The 19,359-nt window shown below is 39.7% G+C and overlaps 1 protein-coding gene and 3 long non-coding RNA genes across 12 annotated transcripts in view, besides 2 other annotated features; 2 read left to right on the plus strand and 2 right to left on the minus strand.

Annotated features, from left to right (window-relative positions):
• TRAF5 (TNF receptor associated factor 5) overlaps positions 1-3,094 on the plus strand; it is a 48,312-nt gene extending 45,218 nt beyond the window's left edge. For 5 of the 9 annotated variants that reach the window (XM_011509960.4, XM_011509957.4, XM_047429574.1 and 2 more), the window contains one exon: positions 276-2,043. In XM_011509960.4, coding sequence (XP_011508262.1) covers positions 276-850 — 575 coding nt within the window. In that variant the 3' untranslated portion in view covers positions 851-2,043. Of the gene's footprint in view, positions 1-275 lie in introns of all 9 variants that reach the window. The other 4 variants (NM_004619.4, NM_001319207.2, NM_001033910.3 and 1 more) reach the window with 1 other exon arrangement.
• Positions 3,095-4,949: 1,855 nt separating this feature from the next.
• Positions 4,950-10,892, minus strand: LOC124904504 (uncharacterized). Its single transcript, XR_007066868.1, has 2 exons — positions 10,741-10,892; positions 4,950-10,546 (listed from the first exon to the last, which is right to left on the minus strand). It is a non-coding gene; the product is annotated as an uncharacterized LOC124904504 (long non-coding RNA).
• Positions 5,598-6,374: an enhancer, noted in NCBI's record as "NANOG-H3K4me1 hESC enhancer chr1:211550792-211551568 (GRCh37/hg19 assembly coordinates)". NCBI's record gives its function as "activates a minimal SCP1, AML or CMV promoter by ChIP-STARR-seq in primed H9 embryonic stem cells {active_cell/tissue: H9 hESC(primed)}" and the evidence as "EXISTENCE:reporter gene assay evidence [ECO:0000049][PMID:30033119]".
• A 10-nt stretch (positions 10,893-10,902) lies between the features above and the next one.
• LINC00467 (long intergenic non-protein coding RNA 467) overlaps positions 10,903-19,359 on the plus strand; it is a 49,781-nt gene continuing 41,324 nt past the window's right edge. Inside the window, exon 1 of the long non-coding RNA NR_026761.2 lies at positions 10,903-11,073. This is a non-coding gene — a long non-coding RNA (long intergenic non-protein coding RNA 467). The remainder of the gene's footprint in view (positions 11,074-19,359) is intronic.
• LOC107985259 (uncharacterized) lies at positions 10,974-12,432 on the minus strand. Its single transcript, XR_001738447.1, has 2 exons — positions 11,419-12,432; positions 10,974-11,102 (listed from the first exon to the last, which is right to left on the minus strand). It is a non-coding gene; the product is annotated as an uncharacterized LOC107985259 (long non-coding RNA).
• Positions 11,016-11,085: an enhancer, noted in NCBI's record as "active region_2485". NCBI's record gives its function as "activates an Ori minimal core promoter by ATAC-STARR-seq in GM12878 lymphoblastoid cells {active_cell/tissue: GM12878}" and the evidence as "EXISTENCE:reporter gene assay evidence [ECO:0000049][PMID:35858748]".

The raw sequence follows: 19,359 nt of genomic DNA on the forward strand, positions 1-19,359 counted from the left end.
GGCTCAGCATGCTGATTCACGCTAGTTGAATGCTCAGTGTGTCTTCTCTACACTTCAGTGAGTTTAAGAGTACACATCTAGGTTTCCTTGGAGGCACTGTGCCAAGACATGATATTCCCTGAGTTAATATTACTACAACAAATGAATTCAGCTCATCTTTAGGATGGCAGGATTTTGTTGATTCTCTTTCAGGTAACAAAATTCCACTTTGGGAAAATTTTAAAGATAACTTTTAGGCCTATGGAATCTTTTTTTTTTTTTTTTCTTATTTGCAGCCGTTTTAGAAGAGGAAACTAACAAACATGATACCCACATTAATATTCATAAAGCACAGCTGAGTAAAAATGAAGAGCGATTTAAACTGCTGGAGGGTACTTGCTATAATGGAAAGCTCATTTGGAAGGTGACAGATTACAAGATGAAGAAGAGAGAGGCGGTGGATGGGCACACAGTGTCCATCTTCAGCCAGTCCTTCTACACCAGCCGCTGTGGCTACCGGCTCTGTGCTAGAGCATACCTGAATGGGGATGGGTCAGGGAGGGGGTCACACCTGTCCCTATACTTTGTGGTCATGCGAGGAGAGTTTGACTCACTGTTGCAGTGGCCATTCAGGCAGAGGGTGACCCTGATGCTTCTGGACCAGAGTGGCAAAAAGAACATTATGGAGACCTTCAAACCTGACCCCAATAGCAGCAGCTTTAAAAGACCTGATGGGGAGATGAACATTGCATCTGGCTGTCCCCGCTTTGTGGCTCATTCTGTTTTGGAGAATGCCAAGAACGCCTACATTAAAGATGACACTCTGTTCTTGAAAGTGGCCGTGGACTTAACTGACCTGGAGGATCTCTAGTCACTGTTATGGGGTGATAAGAGGACTTCTTGGGGCCAGAACTGTGGAGGAGAGCACATTTGATTATCATATTGACCTGGATTTAGACTCAAAGCACATTTGTATTTGCCTTTTTCCTTAACGTTTGAAGTCAGTTTAAAACTTCTGAAGTGCTGTCTTTTTACATTTTACTCTGTCCCAGTTTGAAACTTAAAACTCTTAGAATATTCTCTTATTATTTATATTTTTATATTTCTTGAAAGATGGTAAGTTTCTTGAAGTTTTTGGGGCGTTTCTCTTTTACTGGTGCTTAGCGCAGTGTCTCGGGCACTCTAAATATTGAGTGTTATGGAGGACACAGAGGTAGCAGAATCCCAGTTGAAAATGTTTTGATATTTTATTGTTTGGCCTATTGATTCTAGACCTGGCCTTAAGTCTGCAAAAGCCATCTTTATAAGGTAGGCTGTTCCAGTTAAGTAGTGGGTGATGTAGTTACAAAGATAATATGCTCAGTTTGGACCTTTTTTTCAGTTAAATGCTAAATATATGAAAATTACTATACCTCTAAGTATTTTCATGAAATTCACCAGCAGTTTGCAAGCACAGTTTTGCAAGGCTGCATAAGAACTGGTGAATGGGGTAAGCATTTTCATTCTTCCTGCTGAAGTAAAGCAGAAAGTACTGCATAGTATATGAGATATAGCCAGCTAGCTAAAGTTCAGATTTTGTTAGGTTCAACCCTATGAAAAAAACTATTTTCATAGGTCAAAAATGGTAAAAAATTAGCAGTTTCATAAGATTCAACCAAATAAATATATATATACACACACACATACATATACACCTATATATGTGTGTATACAAACAGTTCGAATGTATTTTGGTGACAGTAATAAATCAATGTGAGGATGGATAGAATTTAGTATATGATAGAGAAAATGTCATAAATGGATAAAAGGAATTTACAACTTGAGGAGAAAACCTTTACAATTTCCTATGGGTGTCAGAAGTACTCTCAGCGAAAACTGATGGCTAAAACAGTATCTACTATTCTCTGATAACTTTTTTTTTGAGACAGAGTTTCATTGTCACCCAGGCTGGAGTACAGTGGCATGATCTCAGCTCACTGCAAACTCTGCCTCCCGAATTCAAGTGATTCTCCTGCCTCAGCCTCCTGAGTAGCTGGGATTACAGGCGCCCGTCACCACACCCAGGTAATTTTTGTATTTTTAGTAGAGACGGAGTTTTGCCATGTTGGCCAAGCTGATCTCAAACTCCTGACCTCAAGTGATCTGCCCGCCTCGGCCTCCCAAAGTGCTGAGATTACAGGCATGACCCACCGCGTCAAGCCTCTGACAACTATTGAATTTGTAAGCTGCTATGCAAATGGGCATTTATATAAACTTGTGATGTTTCTTGTCAGAATTCTGAGTACTCTGTGAAGAACAGAAATGATCATATTCTTATGCATCTATCTGTATGGGTCTGAAGGTGTATATACAAACTGAGATGAGTCCTTATGACTCTTGATAAGCCTGAGTTTAACAACAACAAAAATGCCAAGTTGTCCTGAGCCCTTCTGCGTTGTTATGCCACTTCCCTACTGCTCATATGCACGCTGGCTCCCCTGGGCACGCAAGGATGAGTATGGGCCATGGGCCCCTGTAGAGCTGCTTACCTGGTGATGACCATGCACCTTACAATTTCTGAACAGTTAACCCTATAGAAGCATGCTTTATATGAGTGTCTTCTGGGAAGAGGAACCTTCTTAATCTCTTCTGTGGGATTTTCAAAATGCTAAAGACTCACACTGCAGCAATCATCCCAGATGATTAAATTCAAAGAAATAGGTTCACAACAGGAATATACTGAAGAACTAGAGTGTCACTGCTGGTGAACTGTGGCACGGTTGCTCAACACATCACCTCGGACAAATTCAGGAAGCATTTCTTTAGCCCACAAGTCCAGACCCAGGTGCTCTGTATGTTTGTTTTTAATATTCATCATATCCAAGTTCACTCTGTCTTCCTGAGCAGTGGAAGATCATATTGCTGTAACTTCTTTTAAGTAGTTGATGTGGAAAACATTTTAAAGTGAATTTGTCAAAATGCTGGTTTTGTGTTTTATCCAACTTTTGTGCATATATATAAAGTATGTCATGGCATGGTTTGCTTAGGAGTTCAGAGTTCCTTCATCATCGAAATAGTGATTAAGTGATCCCAGAACAAGGAATACTAGAGTAAAAAGCACCTCTTTTTCACAAAACGAGTTGTGATTTTTGTTTTAAACAAGGTGGATCCATGTAAACTATTTTTCCTTTTTTTATGAACAGGACAGTAATTTTTCTTCTGTATCAATAAGATTTAAATTTTTATTTCCATTTTGGGTTAATTTTGGTTCCTGATGAAAAGATAACAATACACTAAGCATAAAGGGGAAGTTAATAAGTTACAGAAGGATTATAGTGGGGGTGTGTGTGTTAATAATGCTTATTAACAAGTCTGAAATCTGACTCCTGATTTCCACATTTGGTATTTTCAGAGAAAACAAGAGATAGTCACAGCCAGGATCAATTCACAGTGCCAGTCCTGAATACAATAGGACAGTGAAGTACAAACCCTTTGTGTGGTCCCTGGATAATCAGTCCACGCTACTGACTACCTCTTTTCTCTTAGAAAGCAGTTGGAGACATACGTCTCAATCTTATATAAGAATTCTGAGCTGGAGATAAAGGTTTGATGGAGGCACAGTAGGGGTCCCAGGTGGTGAAATCACACAGGAATAACACATTCTATGGGAAGAGGAAGACGAGCCTGTAAAGCATTTGGAGAAGGAATGATCAGAGGTAAGAGAAACACCAAGGAAGGTGGGAAGAGAAAAGAATGTCAACAGGGCCAAATGCCAGCCTCGGAACAGCAGCCACTCCCAGAGCACTCCCACAGCCCTTCTGAACACACTCTCACCCCCATGCTGCTCTCTCCTCAAGTCTGTATCTCTGACCCTGGCCTTTGCCATAAGCTGATCTGAGTACCTGCTGAACATCTAAATTCAGGAATCCCATAGGGACTTTAAGAACCACTTCACCATACGGAACTGGAAATCTTCCTACCTTCCCCACTACTGCCAACCTATTACTCCTCAATTTTTTCTACCTAAATGACATCATTGTCCGAGCCAAAAGTTTGGACACTATTTTAGATTCCTCCCTCATCTTCCCTATCCAGTAACCCACCCTGCACTGCCAATTTGATCTCCAAATAATTTCTTTAAAAGTATTCCTACTACTTACCCCTCCTCAGTACTACTGTCCTGTTTCAGGCCTACATTATTTTTTAACTTACAACTATTCTTCCTATTTTTAGTTGTGCCTCTTTGAAATCCAACCTCTACAGTGTCACCTGATGATCCGTCTCAAATGAAAATCTGAATATGACTCCCACCCCACCCACACTGTGGCTTCATAGCCCATAGGAAAAAGCCCAGCCTCATGGAGTGCCATACAAGGCCCTCCATGCCACTTGTACCTTTCCGGCCTCACCTCCTGACATTTCTACTTTGCATTTAGCAACACCACCCCAAGCTATCTGATATTTGTCTGAGCTTGTGCTATATGTCTATCTGGAATACTCTTTTTTTTGAGATAGGGTCTTACTCTGTCACCCAGGCTGCAGTCCAGTGGCGCAATTACAGCTCACTGCAGCCTTGACCTCCCTGGGTTCAGGTGATCCTTCCACCTCTGCCTCCCAAGTAGATGGGACTACAGGCATGCAACACCATGCCCGGCTAATTTTTTTGTATTTTCTGTAGAGATGGAGTTTCACCGTGTTGCCCAGGCTGGTCTTAAACTTCCAGGCTCGTGACCTGCCCACCTCAGCCTCCCAAAGAGCTATGATTACAGGCGTGAGCCACCATGCCTGGCCTGAATACTCTTCTCTATCCTTACCTTCTTTGCCTGGATAATTCTTGCCCTTCAAGATTCTGCTTTGGCCTCACCTCTGGGATGCCTTCCTAAACTATCCTTTAATCTGTAACCCTACTCCCACACTTCACCCTTAGTAACTGCCCATCAGGTTCATTTTGCCCACTGCCCAAATAGAGCCGATTTATCAAGACAAAGGAATTGTAACAGAGAAAGAGTTTAATTCACACAGCTGGTTGTACAGGAGACTGCCGTTTTATTATTGCTCAGATCAGTCTCCCTGAAAATTCGGAGACTGGGGTTTTTAAGGATAATCTCATGGATGGGGGGCAGGTAGTGGGGAGTGCTGACTGGTCCCCCAGGAATGGGGAGTCAAAGCTGTCCTCTTGTGCTGAGTCAGTTCCTGAGTGGAAGCCACAAGACCATCAGTCTGGGTGGGAGCAGCTGATCCATCCAGGGAGGGGTCTGAAAATACCTTGAGCACCAATCGTAGGTTTTATAATAGTGATGTTATCCCTAGGAGCAATTGGGGAGGCTTAGAATCTTGTGGCCTCTAGCTGCATGACTCCTAAACTATAATTTCTAATGTTGTGGCTCATTTGTTAGTCCTACAAAGTCTGGTCCCCAGGCAGGAAGGGGGTTTGTTCTGAGATAGGACTGTTGTCATCTTTGTTTCAAAGTAAAACTAAGTTCCTCCCAAAGTTAGTTCCGCCTACACTCAGGAATGCACAAGAACAGCTTGGGGGTTAGAAGTGAGATGGAGTTGGCTAGGTCAGATCTCTTTCACTGTCATAATTGGCTGTCATAATTTCTGCAAAGGTGGTTTCACCTTCACTATGTCAAGAATCCTTGCTCTGTGCTGTATACTTCTTTTCCCATACCTCAATTGCTCGACTTTTCTTTTTCCAGAAAACAAATGTTGACTACATATTTGTCAGATTGTGGGAGTTACAAATAGAACAGATATTGTCCCTGTCCTCCTCAGACTTCTAATCTGTAGGTCAATCAGAAGTGGTACAGAAAACTGATCAGTGTGTAAATCTTCCCCAGCCTCCAGGCTGATAAAGACTTTGCCTCTCCACTTCTCTCCCCAGTGTCCTAAGAAAGTGTACCTCTCAGACCTGTTCTGGATGTTTGTGATGCAAAATAAGAGAACAGGCAGAAAAGCATTTGAAAGGTGAGCTCTAAGGGAAAGGTTTATGGAGAGTAGCTAAACAGATCCACATAAGGATTGGGGAGAATTAAAGAAGAGAGAGGAGGGAATTTGAAACTATGGAAACACTGCAAAAGCAGCCATGGAAATAAGAAAAAACAAAACAAAACAACAAACAGAAACTACGGGAACTGCTGGGAACTGTGACTTGGAGCCTTTTTTATTCTTTTTTCTTTCAAGAGGCCCATGCTAAAGACTAAAATACATTTTAAAATTATTTTTGGCTGTTTGAAATATACTTATTTGAAACTCCACGCATAGACTCTATGGCCCCAGAATTTATAAGACATTTGAACAAATTAAGTACATAACAATACAAGTTGTGACAAGTGCCTTGAAGAAAATGACAGAGTACAGGAAAAGACTGATGGGGCTGCTGTGGGGAAAATGTACTGGGGTTGTCAGAGAAGGCCTTAATGCTGAGGTAACACATTATCTCATGTTCATGTGACATGTTTTCTGAATACCCAGCACTTTTCAACACGCTTATAAAGTCTGAGGCATTTCCTATGAGAAAACTTGCCTCCTTGACCCCCTTTGTAGCACAGCAATGTGACCTAGGCCCCACCAAGCAGGCATAGCCAATGCAAAATTTCAACTTGAAAGTGAGCAAGACAGGCTGGGCACAGTGGCTCGCGCCTGTAATCCCAGCACTTTGGGAGGCTGAGGAGGGTGGATCACAAGGTCAGGAGTTCGAGACCAGCCTGGCCAACAGGTGAAACCTCGTCTCTACTAAAAATACAAAAATTAGCCGGGCGTGGTGGCGGGCACCTGTAGTCCCAGCTACTCGGGAGGCTGAGGCAGGAGAATTGCTTGAACCTGGGAGGCAGAGGTTGCAGTGAGCTGAGATCATGCCACTGCACTCCAGCCTGGGTGACAGAGTGAGACTCCATCTCCAAAAAAAAAAAAAAAAAAAAGTGAGCAAGATGAAGAAGGAAACATGCCTAACTCTGGCTACCAGTGGGGACCGCCAGTGTTTGTGGAAGTTGCAGTTTTGGTGTCAATGGTGGCAGCAGCAATGGATTCTCACTAGATCGTCTAGTGTGTTTGGGTACCGTTGTTTCCATATTTGGCCTCTGGCTCTCCTAGAGATTCTGTGAGCTACATGATTTTTTAAAAGTCCTTTTCTTTCTCAACCAGAGTGGATTCCGTTGCTTGTAACTAACTGCCTGACCTAATCAAGCTGAGATCTGAAAGATGAGTCAGTCGTGGGAAGAGCTGTCAGGGTGGATCAGTAATCTGAGCAGAGGGCACTGAAGAGTGTTGGCTCAAGGAACTGAGAAGAGGATAGTGTGGTGGGAATTTGGTAGAAATCAGGAGAATGATAGTTGATGAGGTTAGAGAGGGAGGCACAGGGTTTAGAACCTGAGGGCTCAGGCCATGGTGAGAAGTTTATGGTTTATGTAAAGTATAATGAAAGTTAACATATGATGGGCAGAGGATGCATGATCTGATTAATGTTTTGCCTCTTAATGTGGAGCACAGATTAGAAGGGGGACAAGAGAGAACATGGGAAGAGTATTAAGGTTAAATCGTATTGAAATTGCATTTCATGTCTGTTCCCTTATGAGACCACTGAAGCCGAGAACCATGTCTAATTCAAAAGTGCACAGCAGGTGCTCAGTGTATTAAAATGAATGAATACACTAATGCACTGAATTTTTGTAACAACTCTGATAGGCAAGTCTTCTGCCCATTCCATAGATGAAAAATCTGGTAAAGAGATCCAAGCATTAGGCACTGTCCTAAGAATGTTACATATATTAACATATTAATCTTAGAACAACCTCATGAGGTATATGCTGTATTATCCCCACTTTACAGATGAAACAACTGAGGCACAGAGAGTTTATGTAATAAGCTCTAGGTTACTCAGCTAATAAGTGGTAGTGCTAGGATCTGAATCCAGGCAGTCTGGCCTCACAGGCTCCACTCTTAACCACTACACAGACTGCCTCATATGGATACTGATGAATTCTAAACACACACACACACATATATATAAAGATACACCTTTAAATGAGTTAGAAGAGTAACTACTATTCATAGAATAAAAATCAAATATAACTTTCAAACCACTAAAGCGGGAAAAAAACTGGAAAAAAAGACTGTCAAACCAAAGGCAGTAAAGAGAACAGGAAGCATGATACATAGAAAAAAATGAGTGAGATATATCTATGAATAAGTTAAGTGTTAGTATTAACAGGGAGAAATCTCAAATGAGGGGGACATGTACATGCTTTTAAAAAACATACCGAAAACAAAATAGAGTTAATAACTGCATTAGCTTTATAGTCAGAGAAACTCTTGCACACGTGTACCAGGAAACATGTACAAGAAAATTTACTGTCAGCAGTTGGTAACAGCAAAAAAAAAACCAAACAACAAAACAAAAAAACTGGGGCAAAAAAATAACCTGTGTTGGCATGGAATGGAGCAACAGCAGCTCTCCTACATTGCTGATGGAGGGTAAGTTAGTACAACCACTGGAGAACAATTTGGCAATATCAAAGTTGAACTGTGCAAACCCTTCCACCTTGCAATTCCATTTCTAGACATTATCCTAAGGAAATTCTTACCATATGTCTAAGAAGCTGTGTGCAAGAACTAACTCATGTTATAATGACAGAAATCAGGAATCATGAAATTGCTAGCAACTGGAGAATGGATAAATGGTGGTACAATTATACAATGGAATACTATTCAGCAGTTAAAATAAAACTAGAACTACAGGAATCATCCTGGATAAATTTTACATACATAATTATAGGTGGCAAAAGTAAGTGACATGCATATCATTTATATTAGGTTTAAAAAGCATAAAACAGTACTTTATGCTACTTAACATCGCTACATGTATTTGGAGCATACATAAAAGCTTTCATGGGAATGACAGATACCAAATTCAATGAAGTAGTTAATTTCAGAGAGGAAGAGAGGGAGAATGAGATTGCAGGCAGTTTCACAAGGAGCTCTAACTGAATGTTAAAATCTGAAGCAAATAAGAGAAAATGTTAAAATGGGATAAAGCTAGATGGTTGGTATACAAGTGTTCATTATATTATTTTCTGTAACTGTACATTCTGGTAATATTTCATATTAAACATTTTAAAGGAAAGTTAAGCTTCCAAGATTCTATAAAAAGAACAAAATAAACCCAAAGAGATAAGAAGAAATTAATGAAGGCATACATTAATGAAAGAGAAATTACTTTTAAGACAGATTTTATCTATAAAACCAAAAGCTGGTTTGATAAATATGATCAAGAAAAAGACTCCAATACAATATATAAGAATATATATATAAGAATATATAAGAATGGTTGAGAACAATATGAGATTTTTTTAAATGTTAGAAAATATAGCTGAAATACTTTTTTTTTAAAGATGGAGTCTCGCTCTGTCCCCCAGGCTGGAGTGCAGTAGCAAAATCTCAGCTCACTGCAAGCTCCGCCTCCCGGGTTCAAGCCATTCTCCTGCTTCAGCCTCCTGAGTAGCTGGGACTACAGGCGCCCGCCACCATGCCCGGCTAATTTTTCATTGTCGTATTTTTAGTAGAGACGGAGTTTCACCGTGTTAGCCAGGATGGTCTCGATCTCCTGACCTCGTGATCCGCCCTCCTCGGCCTCCCAATGTGCTGGGATCACAGGCGTGAGTCACCGCACCCGGCCAATACTTTTCTAGAAAAAACTAATTTTCTCAAGAAGCAAAAGAAAAAATTCTAGGTATCAATAACGATGGACGCTATATAAAAAACAAAACTATCCATTAAGATGGCACCACACCCAGAAGGCTTTAAAGATGAGTTCTTCAAAACCTAAGAAATGTATCATTCACACATGCTATGTCTATTCCAGGTCATACAAAAATAAGTTAACCTGTCTGACTCCTAGCACAACCTGATACCAAAACTAGACAAGGACAGCAAAAGAAAACCATAAGCCAATCTAACTTAGGTGCATACATGAAAATCCAAAATTAACTACACAGCAAATTGCATCCAGCAATATATTGAAAAAATAAGATACCAGGATTCTAAGTTTGGCTCACCATTAGAAAATCTATTATTGTAGTTATTTTATTGTAGAGTAATGGAAAAAAGGCCATACAATCATCTCAAAGACTGATACTGAAAATACTTGGTAAAACTTAGTCATTTGCTGATTAAAAAAAAAACCGATATGGTAAACTACGAAAAGAACATAATTTGCCTATACACCCACACACACACACACCATAAACCTGCAGAAGATATCTTGAATGAAACCTAAGATGCAATCCAAAATAACTCCTGGTAAGAAATAAGTACCTCCGGCTACTATTCAGTGTTGCACTGGATTCTTGGGAAAAGCCAAAATTGTTCTTTACAGATAAATTCTTACCTACAAATCAAAGAGGACTGCCTGTCAAATTTTTAGAATACGAACGTTTAGTGAAGTGTCCAGATAGATCAACAATCAAAAGCCATTCTTATACAAGGATACTAATGGATTAATAGTCTATTAGTAAAAACAAACTACAATAACAAAAATAGCTATGAAAAAATGTTAAATGCGCACAACACCAAGCGAACTGCAACGCTTTACCTGAAAAACAAAGGGAGAACTGAATTAATTTAAAAAAATAGCCACATTGCTGGACGGGAATTCTCAATATTGTACTAGTATCCAATCTCGGCAAATCTACAAAAATATGGAATCCCAAACAAATCCCTGGAAATCTTTGCCATTTGGGCGCCAATCTACTAAAGAAATCGGCCCCAGGGTGTGAGGTTTCTCACATGTGCGTGAAAACGCTTCGAGAGGGGTGCAGCCGCGGACACAAAAACCGTGGCTTGAGTCCCCGCGCCCCTCCCCTCCCCTCCCCTCCCTCCCTCCAGTCCAGCAGCTCTTGCCTAAGGCTCCCGCGACCGGAAGAGTCGCTTCCGCTCCCGCCCCGCTCTGTGGCGTAGGCCGGACATTTCTAGTCGACTGTTGCGCGTGCGCGCGCTGTGACGTTCCCTACGCGGTCGGGCGTTGGGTTTCGCGGCGCTCGCCGCACTGGTTGTTCAGCACCTTCGGTCCGGTTGAGGTTGTCAAGTCGGACCAAACAGGTTGTTTCTCTGCAGTTTCCAGTAAGTGACCGTTCCAGCCGGGGCTGTGGCTAGAGTGTGAAGGCAAACCGGTAGAAGCCGCGCCGCCATTTTCTTCCCACCTCACTCTTTCCTCAATCTCCCTTCGGTCACTCCGAGGGGACTGTTGGTAGCCCCCCTCTGCCCGGTCCCCCGCTAATGAGGCCGCTCCCAAGCTCTGAGTTTCCCCAAAAGATGTGTCCTTTGTCATGAAAGCTCTCGTAGTATTTAAGTGCTAATACTCGACGGCCGCCGACTTCTCAGATGCACCCTGGAGGGTGTGCTCTTGGCCTGACACTTATTAGCCCTTCCGCTTCCTACAGTTGTGATGGGCCCTCAGATACTCACCAGGAAAATGTGATGCCCGCACCACCACTTCTTACTCCAACTTTCTTTGTAATTATGTCCTCTGTTTCAGAATCCTACTGCCGCGGAACAAAAATGTACCAAGGACCATTCCACTTAACGTCCCTCCCTTCCTTCTCAAACCCTTAAGAGTGCCTTAAGAGTAAGGTACTGACCTAAGTGCTTTACATGCATTTTATTTAATCTTCCCACGCAGTCCTTAAGTAGGCAGACATGAGAAAATTGAGGCACAGAAAAGTTTAATAATTTGCTCAAGGCAACATAGGTTGGATGTGGTAGGGCTGAAATTTGGATTTATTGTGTAGCTTACTCAATCTGGTGTTGTTATCATTCATTCCTTTCTCTTTCCCAAATACTGAGTATTCCTTTTTTTCTTAGTTGCTTCTACAGAGGAATTTTTTTCCTTAATGCTGTTTAGAGGGTTCTTCTTGAGAAATTTGGGTTCTGTCTGAAAACCCTTTTCTCAGAGCTCTCCTTACACAGACGCTTAAGTGTTGTTTTTCCAAATCTAAGCTCTAAACTTAATAATATTTTGCATATCCAAAATGTGCTCATGCTTCCTTAAAAAAGTACCCCTAAACCAGTACCCACCAACCAGCCCCCTTCCTCTACCTCAATATGACAATGGTTATCACTATTCTCAGCAAACATTTGGGCAGCTAGCTTATGTAAGACAATAAAGGTAATTGGGGTTTTGAAGAACTCTGAGGTTTAGTTCCGACCTGAAGGAGAAACATGAAAAGGCCTTCATAAAAAGGCCACATAAAATAGCAGATAAATCCCATCTCAGTTGCACAGAATACAAATTGTATAAGAGCAACTTTGGACAAATCAGGTAAAAGTGCTAGATGTGTTTACTCATCTGTAAAATGTTAAGGTTAGGCTAGGTCACTAAAATATTATAAATCTAATTTCAGAGAGAGGAGTGATAACTCTGTACTCACTATTGAGGGAGGTGGAGGCTGTAGTTTGTTTTTAGTGTTTTTTTTTGTTTTTTTGTTTGTTTGTTTTTGAGACAGGGTCTCACTCTGTCGCCCAGGCTGGAGTGCAGTGGCGTGATCAGAGCTCACTGCAGCCTCCACCTCAGCCTCCTGAGTATCTGGGACTACAGGTGTGCACCACCATGCCCGGCTAATTTTTGTATTTTTTGTAGAGACAGGGTCTCACTATGTTGCCCAGGCTGGTCTTGAACTCCTGGCTTCAAGCAGTCCTCCCACCTTGGCCTCCCAAAGTGCTGGGATTACAGGTATGAGCCACTGCACCCCACCTGTAGTGTGTTCTCGATACAGAGACAAGGTTGAAGGATTCAGAGTACAATTTTCTCATTTTGAATATCTGATAAAATCTGTAGACCCTCCATCAACAGAGGATTGGGTAAAGAAAATGTGGTGGTGTGTGTGTGTGTGTGTGTGTGTGTGTGTATGCCATGGAATACTATTTAGCCATTAAAAAGTCATGTTTTTTCAGCAACATGGATAGAACTGGAAGCCATTATCCTAACCGAAATAACTCAGAAAGCCAAATATCACATGTTCTCACTTAAAGCAGGAGCTGAGAAGTGATGGGTACACGTACATATAGACACTGCAGACTACAAAAGGTGGGAGGATGGGAGGGGGGTGAGGGTTGAAAAGTTACATACTGGGAACAATGCTCACAATTTTGGTAATGGGTACACTAAAAGCCCAGGCTTCACCACTGTGCAATATGTACATCTAAGAATTCTGCACTCGTACCCTCTAAATATATAAAAATTATGTTTTTCTGAGACAGTCTTGCTTTGTCACCCAGGCTGGTGCAATCTTGGCTCACTGCAACATCTGCCTCCTGGGTTCAAGTGATTCTCATGCTTCAGCCTCCCGAGTAGCTGGGACTATAGGTGTGCACCATCACACCTGACTAATTTTTGTAACTTTAGTAGATATGGGTTTTGCTACGTTGGCCTGGGTGGTCTCAAACTCCTGGCCTAAGCAATCAACCCACCCCGGCCTTCCCAAGTGCTAGGATTATAGGTGTGAGCCATGAGACCCAGCCTAAAAATAAATTTTTTAAAAAAGCTGTAGATCTTGCTCTGGAAATAAAATTCACATCCATACAACATTTTATGCTTAATTTTAGGAGATTTGTTGACTACTCCTTCTCAAATTTAAATGTTAAAAACCCTTGATTTAGGGAAAAAGTATTATTCAGAACACCAGAACTAAGCCAGATGTGGAAGGCCTTTATCTTGTGGGCAGTGTTGAACCATTTGAGGTCTAAAAAGATAAATCTGGTAGCAGTATGAAAAATGCATGACAGTGGGAAAAAGCAACGAGACTAGTTAAGTGGCAGGGGAATCATTTAGGTAGGAGACTGTGCCAAGCAGTATTGGGAATGAAGAGAAATCAGAAGAAGTATTGACAAGGACAAATCAAATATCTGACTGGATATGGAATTGAAAGAGGAAATCAATGATAACAAGGTTCGAGGATCAGTTATGCTGCAGGTCTACCTTGTCTTCAGTATTTTATTGAAGTCATTCCTATAACATCTGTGCTAGTGCTTGCTTCAGTAGCACATATACTAAAATTGGAATGATACAGAGAAGATCAGCAAATAAAAATTTAAGTACAAATTTAAAAAAGAAACAAACATACGTGCTCTAAGAGCACTCCCAACCCAACAGACATTAAAAAGGATGAGGTAATACACGAACACCTCTGTACTTATAAATTTGATAATGTGAGAGAAATGGGCCACTATCAAAATTACCAAAACTCACCCAGGACAAAATAGGTAAATGAAATAGTCCTATAAGTATTAAAGAAATAGAATTTGTGAGAAAAACGAACAAACAAAACGACAACCAAAAAACAAACCCTGGCAAGAGTCTTCTTGCCAGGAAGAAAAAAAAAGAATAATAACTTTAAAAAAAAAGAAAGCTCCAGGCCGAGATAATTTCACTGGCAAATTTCACCAAACATTCAAGGATGAAAAAATAACAGTTCTCTTACAAGCTCTTTGGATCGTAGAAAAGGAAGAAACACTTAACTCATTTTATGAAGGCAGCATTTTCTGGATACCAAAACCAGATAAAGACAATACAAAAAACAAATCTAAAAGTTAAAATCCCTCATGAACAAAGATACAACTTCCTCAAAAAATAATAGCAAATTGAATTCAGCAGTATATTAGAAAAATAGTACATTGTGACGAAGTCTCATCCCAGGAATTCAATATTTGAACATCATATAATCCTCCATATTAACAGACTAAATAAGAAAAACTACATGATGCTATTAATAGATGCAGAAAAACACTTAAGAAGATTCAGCATTCATTCATTATTCTTAAAACTCAGCAAACAAGTAATAGAAGAGAACCTAATAAAAGTCATCGACAAAACCCATAGCTATTGTTATATTTAATGGTGAAAGACTGAATGCTCTCTACCCTCCAAGATTGGGAACTAGGCAAGGATGTCTCTTCCACTACTGTTTAATATTTTACTGGAAATCCTAGCAATTATAGTAAGTCAAGAAAATGGGAGAAAAAGCATTCTGATTGGAAAAGAAGAAATAAAATTATATTTGCAGATGACAATTATATAGTAAGTCTCAAGAAGTCTATTTAAAAAGCTGGTAGAGCTAACAAATTTAGCAGGTTACAGGATACAAGCTTAACATACATAATCCTATTTCTACACTAACAATGAACCGTTGGAAACTGACCCACTCTCCTCCCTCACAAATGAAATACTTAGGCAGAAATCTAACAAAGTATGTGTGGGATTTGGAAACTGACCCAATCTCCTCCCTCACAAATGAAATACTTAGGTAGAAATCTAACAAAGTATGTGTGGGATTTGGAAACTGACCCACTCTCTTCCCTCAGAAGTGAAATACTCTGGTATAAATCTAACAAAGTATGTGTGGGATTTGGAAACTGACCCACTGTCCTCCCTCACAAGTGAAATACTCTGGTATAAATCTAACAAAGTGTGTGCGGGATTTGTGTGCTAAAAACTACAAAATGCTGATGAAAGAAGACCCATAGTGTTCATGGATTGGAAAATTCAGTATAGTTAAAATGTCAGTTCTCCCTAAATAGATCCATGAATTTGATTACAGTCAAAGTCCAAGCAAGATTTTTGTAGGCATAGGTTACTTGATTGTAAAGTTGATAAGGAAAGGTAAAGGAACTAAATTAGCAAAAGAGTTTTTAGAACGAAGAGCAGAGCTGAAGGATTCACATGACCTGATTTTAAAACCTAAAATTCTTTTTTTTTTTTTTTTTTTTTTTTTGAGATGGAGTCTCGCTCTGTCCCCCAGGCTGGAGTGCAGTGGCAGGATCTTGGCTCACTGCAAGCTCCGCCTTCTGGGTTCACACCATTCTCCTGCCTCAGCCTCCTGAGTAGCTGGGACTACAGGCACCTGCCACCATGCCTGCCTAATTTTTTGTATTTTTAGTAGAGACGGGGTTTCACTGTGTTAGCCAGGATGGTCTCCATCTCCTGACCTCGTGATCTGCCCGCCTCGGCCTCCCAAAGTGCTGGGATTACAGGCATGAGCCACGGCGCCCAGCCTAAAACCTAAAATTCTTTAGGAAAACATAGAAGAAAATGTTTGTGACATTGGGTTAGGCAAAGAATTATTAGGTAACAACAAAAGCAGTATCTATGAAGAAAAAGATCAATTGAATTTCATCAAAAAATATTTTGCTATATAAAGGGTACCGTAAAGAGAATGAAAGACAAACCATGTTAGGAGAAAATATTTGCAAATCACATACTTGACCAAAGGCTTTTATATCCAGAATATATAAAGAATTTCCAAAACCTAACAAGAAACCAAATAACCCAATTAAAAAAATAGGCAAAAAGTTGGACACTTCGCCAGTGATATACAGCTAGCAAATAAGCACGTGAAAATACGTTCAACATCATTAATCATTAGGGAAATGCAAATTAAAACCAGGAGGTAATATTAAACAGTTACCAGAATGGATAGAATTAAAAAATAATACCAAGTCCTGACAAGGATGTGGAGCAACTAGAACATTCATGCATTACTACAGCCACTTTGGTGAACAGTTGTGCAGTTTCTTAGGAAGTTAAGCATACACTTACTATGTAACCCTGCAATTCCACTTTTGTGTGTTTATCCTAGGGAAATAAAAATTTACGTTAACACAAAAATCTGTAAATGAATGTTTATAGCAGCATTATTTATAATTGCCCAAAATGTCCTAAAAGGTTGTTTCAACATTTGAAAATTAATCAGTGTAATCTACCATATTAGCAGACTAAACAAGAAGAACTACATGAACTAAATGTCCCTAAGTGAGTGAATGTGGATAAACACAGTGTGGTACATCTTCACAATGGAATGGGACTGGGTAAAAAGGAACAAACACTGATATATGCAGTAGCTTCGATGAATCTCAGGTGTGTTATATTAAGTGAAGGAAACCAATATCAAATGGTTAAATACTTATGATTTCATTTATATGACATTCTGGAAAAAGTAAAACTAAACGGACAGTGAACAGATAGATGAGTGGTTGCCCAGGGTTAAAGGTGGGGAGAGGGTCTCACTACCAGGGAGTAGCATGAGGAAATTCTTTGGGTATTGGAATTGTTCTGTATCCTGTTAATGGTGGTTACAAGTATCTATGTGTGTGTTAAAACTCTTAATACTGTACACACGTGAATTTTACTGTATATAAATTTCAGTAAATTTTACTGAAAAATTTTTTAAGAAAAAAACCAATAGTCTAGAATCTCATTTTAAAAACTCACCCCGACCTCAGTAATTCCTCCAACCACTATGCCATTTTTCTGCTTTCATGGTAAAATATAGTTTATTGTCTTTTATTTCCTCACTTCCCAATTCACTCTTTTTAAAAAACTTTTAAAAACATTTAGCAACATAATATGTGCACATGATTAAAAGATCAAATTGCATGTAAGAGTTGATAATGAAAAGCAATAGTCTCCATCCCACCTGCTTTCTCCTCTTTCTGGATCCACATCCCTAGAGACAAACACCGTAAACATTTTTTATGTTTAGTTATTTTGGTGATTGTTTCTGCATTTCTAAATAGTATGCCCATACTGTTTTTTCTCAGTCAAATTTATTTATTGTCCTCTGAGTTTCTGCTGTGATAGATGAGGGCTCATCTCAATTTTAACAGCCTCTGCTCCTGCTGGCTGCTTTCTCCACAGATTTCATAAAGTGTTTTTATTTTCTCTTTTGTTTACTCTTGTAGACTTAAGCAATTAATATATATAAGCACATATTTCTTGTTCTATCACTATCACAAGTTTTATCACTCTCTCTTGATTTCATAGGATATTAGCATTCCTTTCCCGCTACCTTTTCTTTTTCTTCTCCACCTTTCGTGTCCTGACAGCTCTGCCTTTACATTTATAGCATTATAATTGGATAAGTTAACTTTTGTTCTATAACTGTTATGAACACTTCAGTGTTTTCCTCTGTAAATTGGATTCACATGTTAAAAACCAATGAAAATAGTTAGGCTCAGTGGCTCACATCTGTAATCTGAACACTTTGGGAGACTTAGGAAGGAGGATCGCTTGAGCCCTGGAGTTTGGAGCTGTCATAAGCTATGATTGCACCACTGCATTTCAGCTTGGGCAGCAAAGCAACACCCTGCCTAAATAAATAAATAAGGTAAAAATAAATAAAATGAAAAAATAAAAACTCAAAATAACATTTTATTGTGACTTTATAAATATTATTCATTGCAAGTCTCAGGAATGTGCCTAGGTTATATTTCTCTTGAAGTCCATGGTTTTTAGCGAAATGTTGCTAGTATTCTTGATAACAACTTTGTTAGAACCCATTGATATTTTGTTCTTATTTGGAACTATTGCTCTTGAGTCCTTTGAACAGCTTTATCCTGAGATTTTTTTTTCCTTTGAACCCCTGCAGTTTTCCACACTTTTATACTCCTCACCTTTTACTTTCTTTGTTTATTGCTTAACCATAATTTTCATATGACTAGGAAGGAAGTCTGGCATCTTGGATGAGAATTCCCACTTACTCTTTGTGTGCTTGGAGGAGATTTATTTACTTTTAAATTTTTGTCAAAATAATATTTATTCATTTTAAAAACCAAAAAATACTACAGTACTCCATCTAACTTGCCATAGGCAGCTTCCTTCAATTCTTTTAGCTCTTTCTCTAGATACATATTTTAAAATAATATATTTATAGTAATGTTTCCTAATTTAGACAATATCCACCTTAGACATTATCTTTTGACTTTCAGTTACGAAAGATGAGTATTTAGTACTCCATTTGTGCTGTTTTCCTTTTGTGGTATCATTCAGCCTTGTGGCTTCAAACATTGTACTGAAGATTCTCAGACTTATTACTGTGAGTGCCTTTTCTCTATTCAAATAATCTTTGTTGTCAACATGAAGTAAATAACATATTTACTTAGTCTCTAGGCATCTACTAAATTGCTATTTAGGTATACCTTGAAAAGAAACTTCTGGGCCGGGCATGATGGCTCACGCCTGTAATCCCAGCACTTTGGTAGGCCAAGGCGGGCAGATCGTTTGAGGTCAGGAGTTCCAGACCAGCCTACCCAACATGGTGAAACCCTGTCTCTACTAAAAATGCAAAAAAAAATGAGCCAGGCGTGGTGGTGGGCGCTTGTAATCCCAGCTACTCAGGAGGCTGAGGCACAAGAATCACTTGAACCCAGGAGGCAGAGGTTGCAGTGAGCCGAGATTGCGCAACTGCGCTCCAGCCTGGTTGACAGAGTGAGACTCTGTCTCAAAAAGAAAAACTTTATGATTTTCTGTTCTGTATTTTAGTGGAATATTATTCCAAACATATTCCTTCCTTAGTGTTGGCATATCTCAGTTAATGGTATTGTTGTCTACCCAATTGGTCATGCCAACATTCTAGA

The sequence above is a fragment of the Homo sapiens genome, chromosome 1, assembly GCF_000001405.40.
Source record: "Homo sapiens chromosome 1, GRCh38.p14 Primary Assembly".
Classification (NCBI taxonomy): domain Eukaryota; kingdom Metazoa; phylum Chordata; class Mammalia; order Primates; family Hominidae; genus Homo; species Homo sapiens.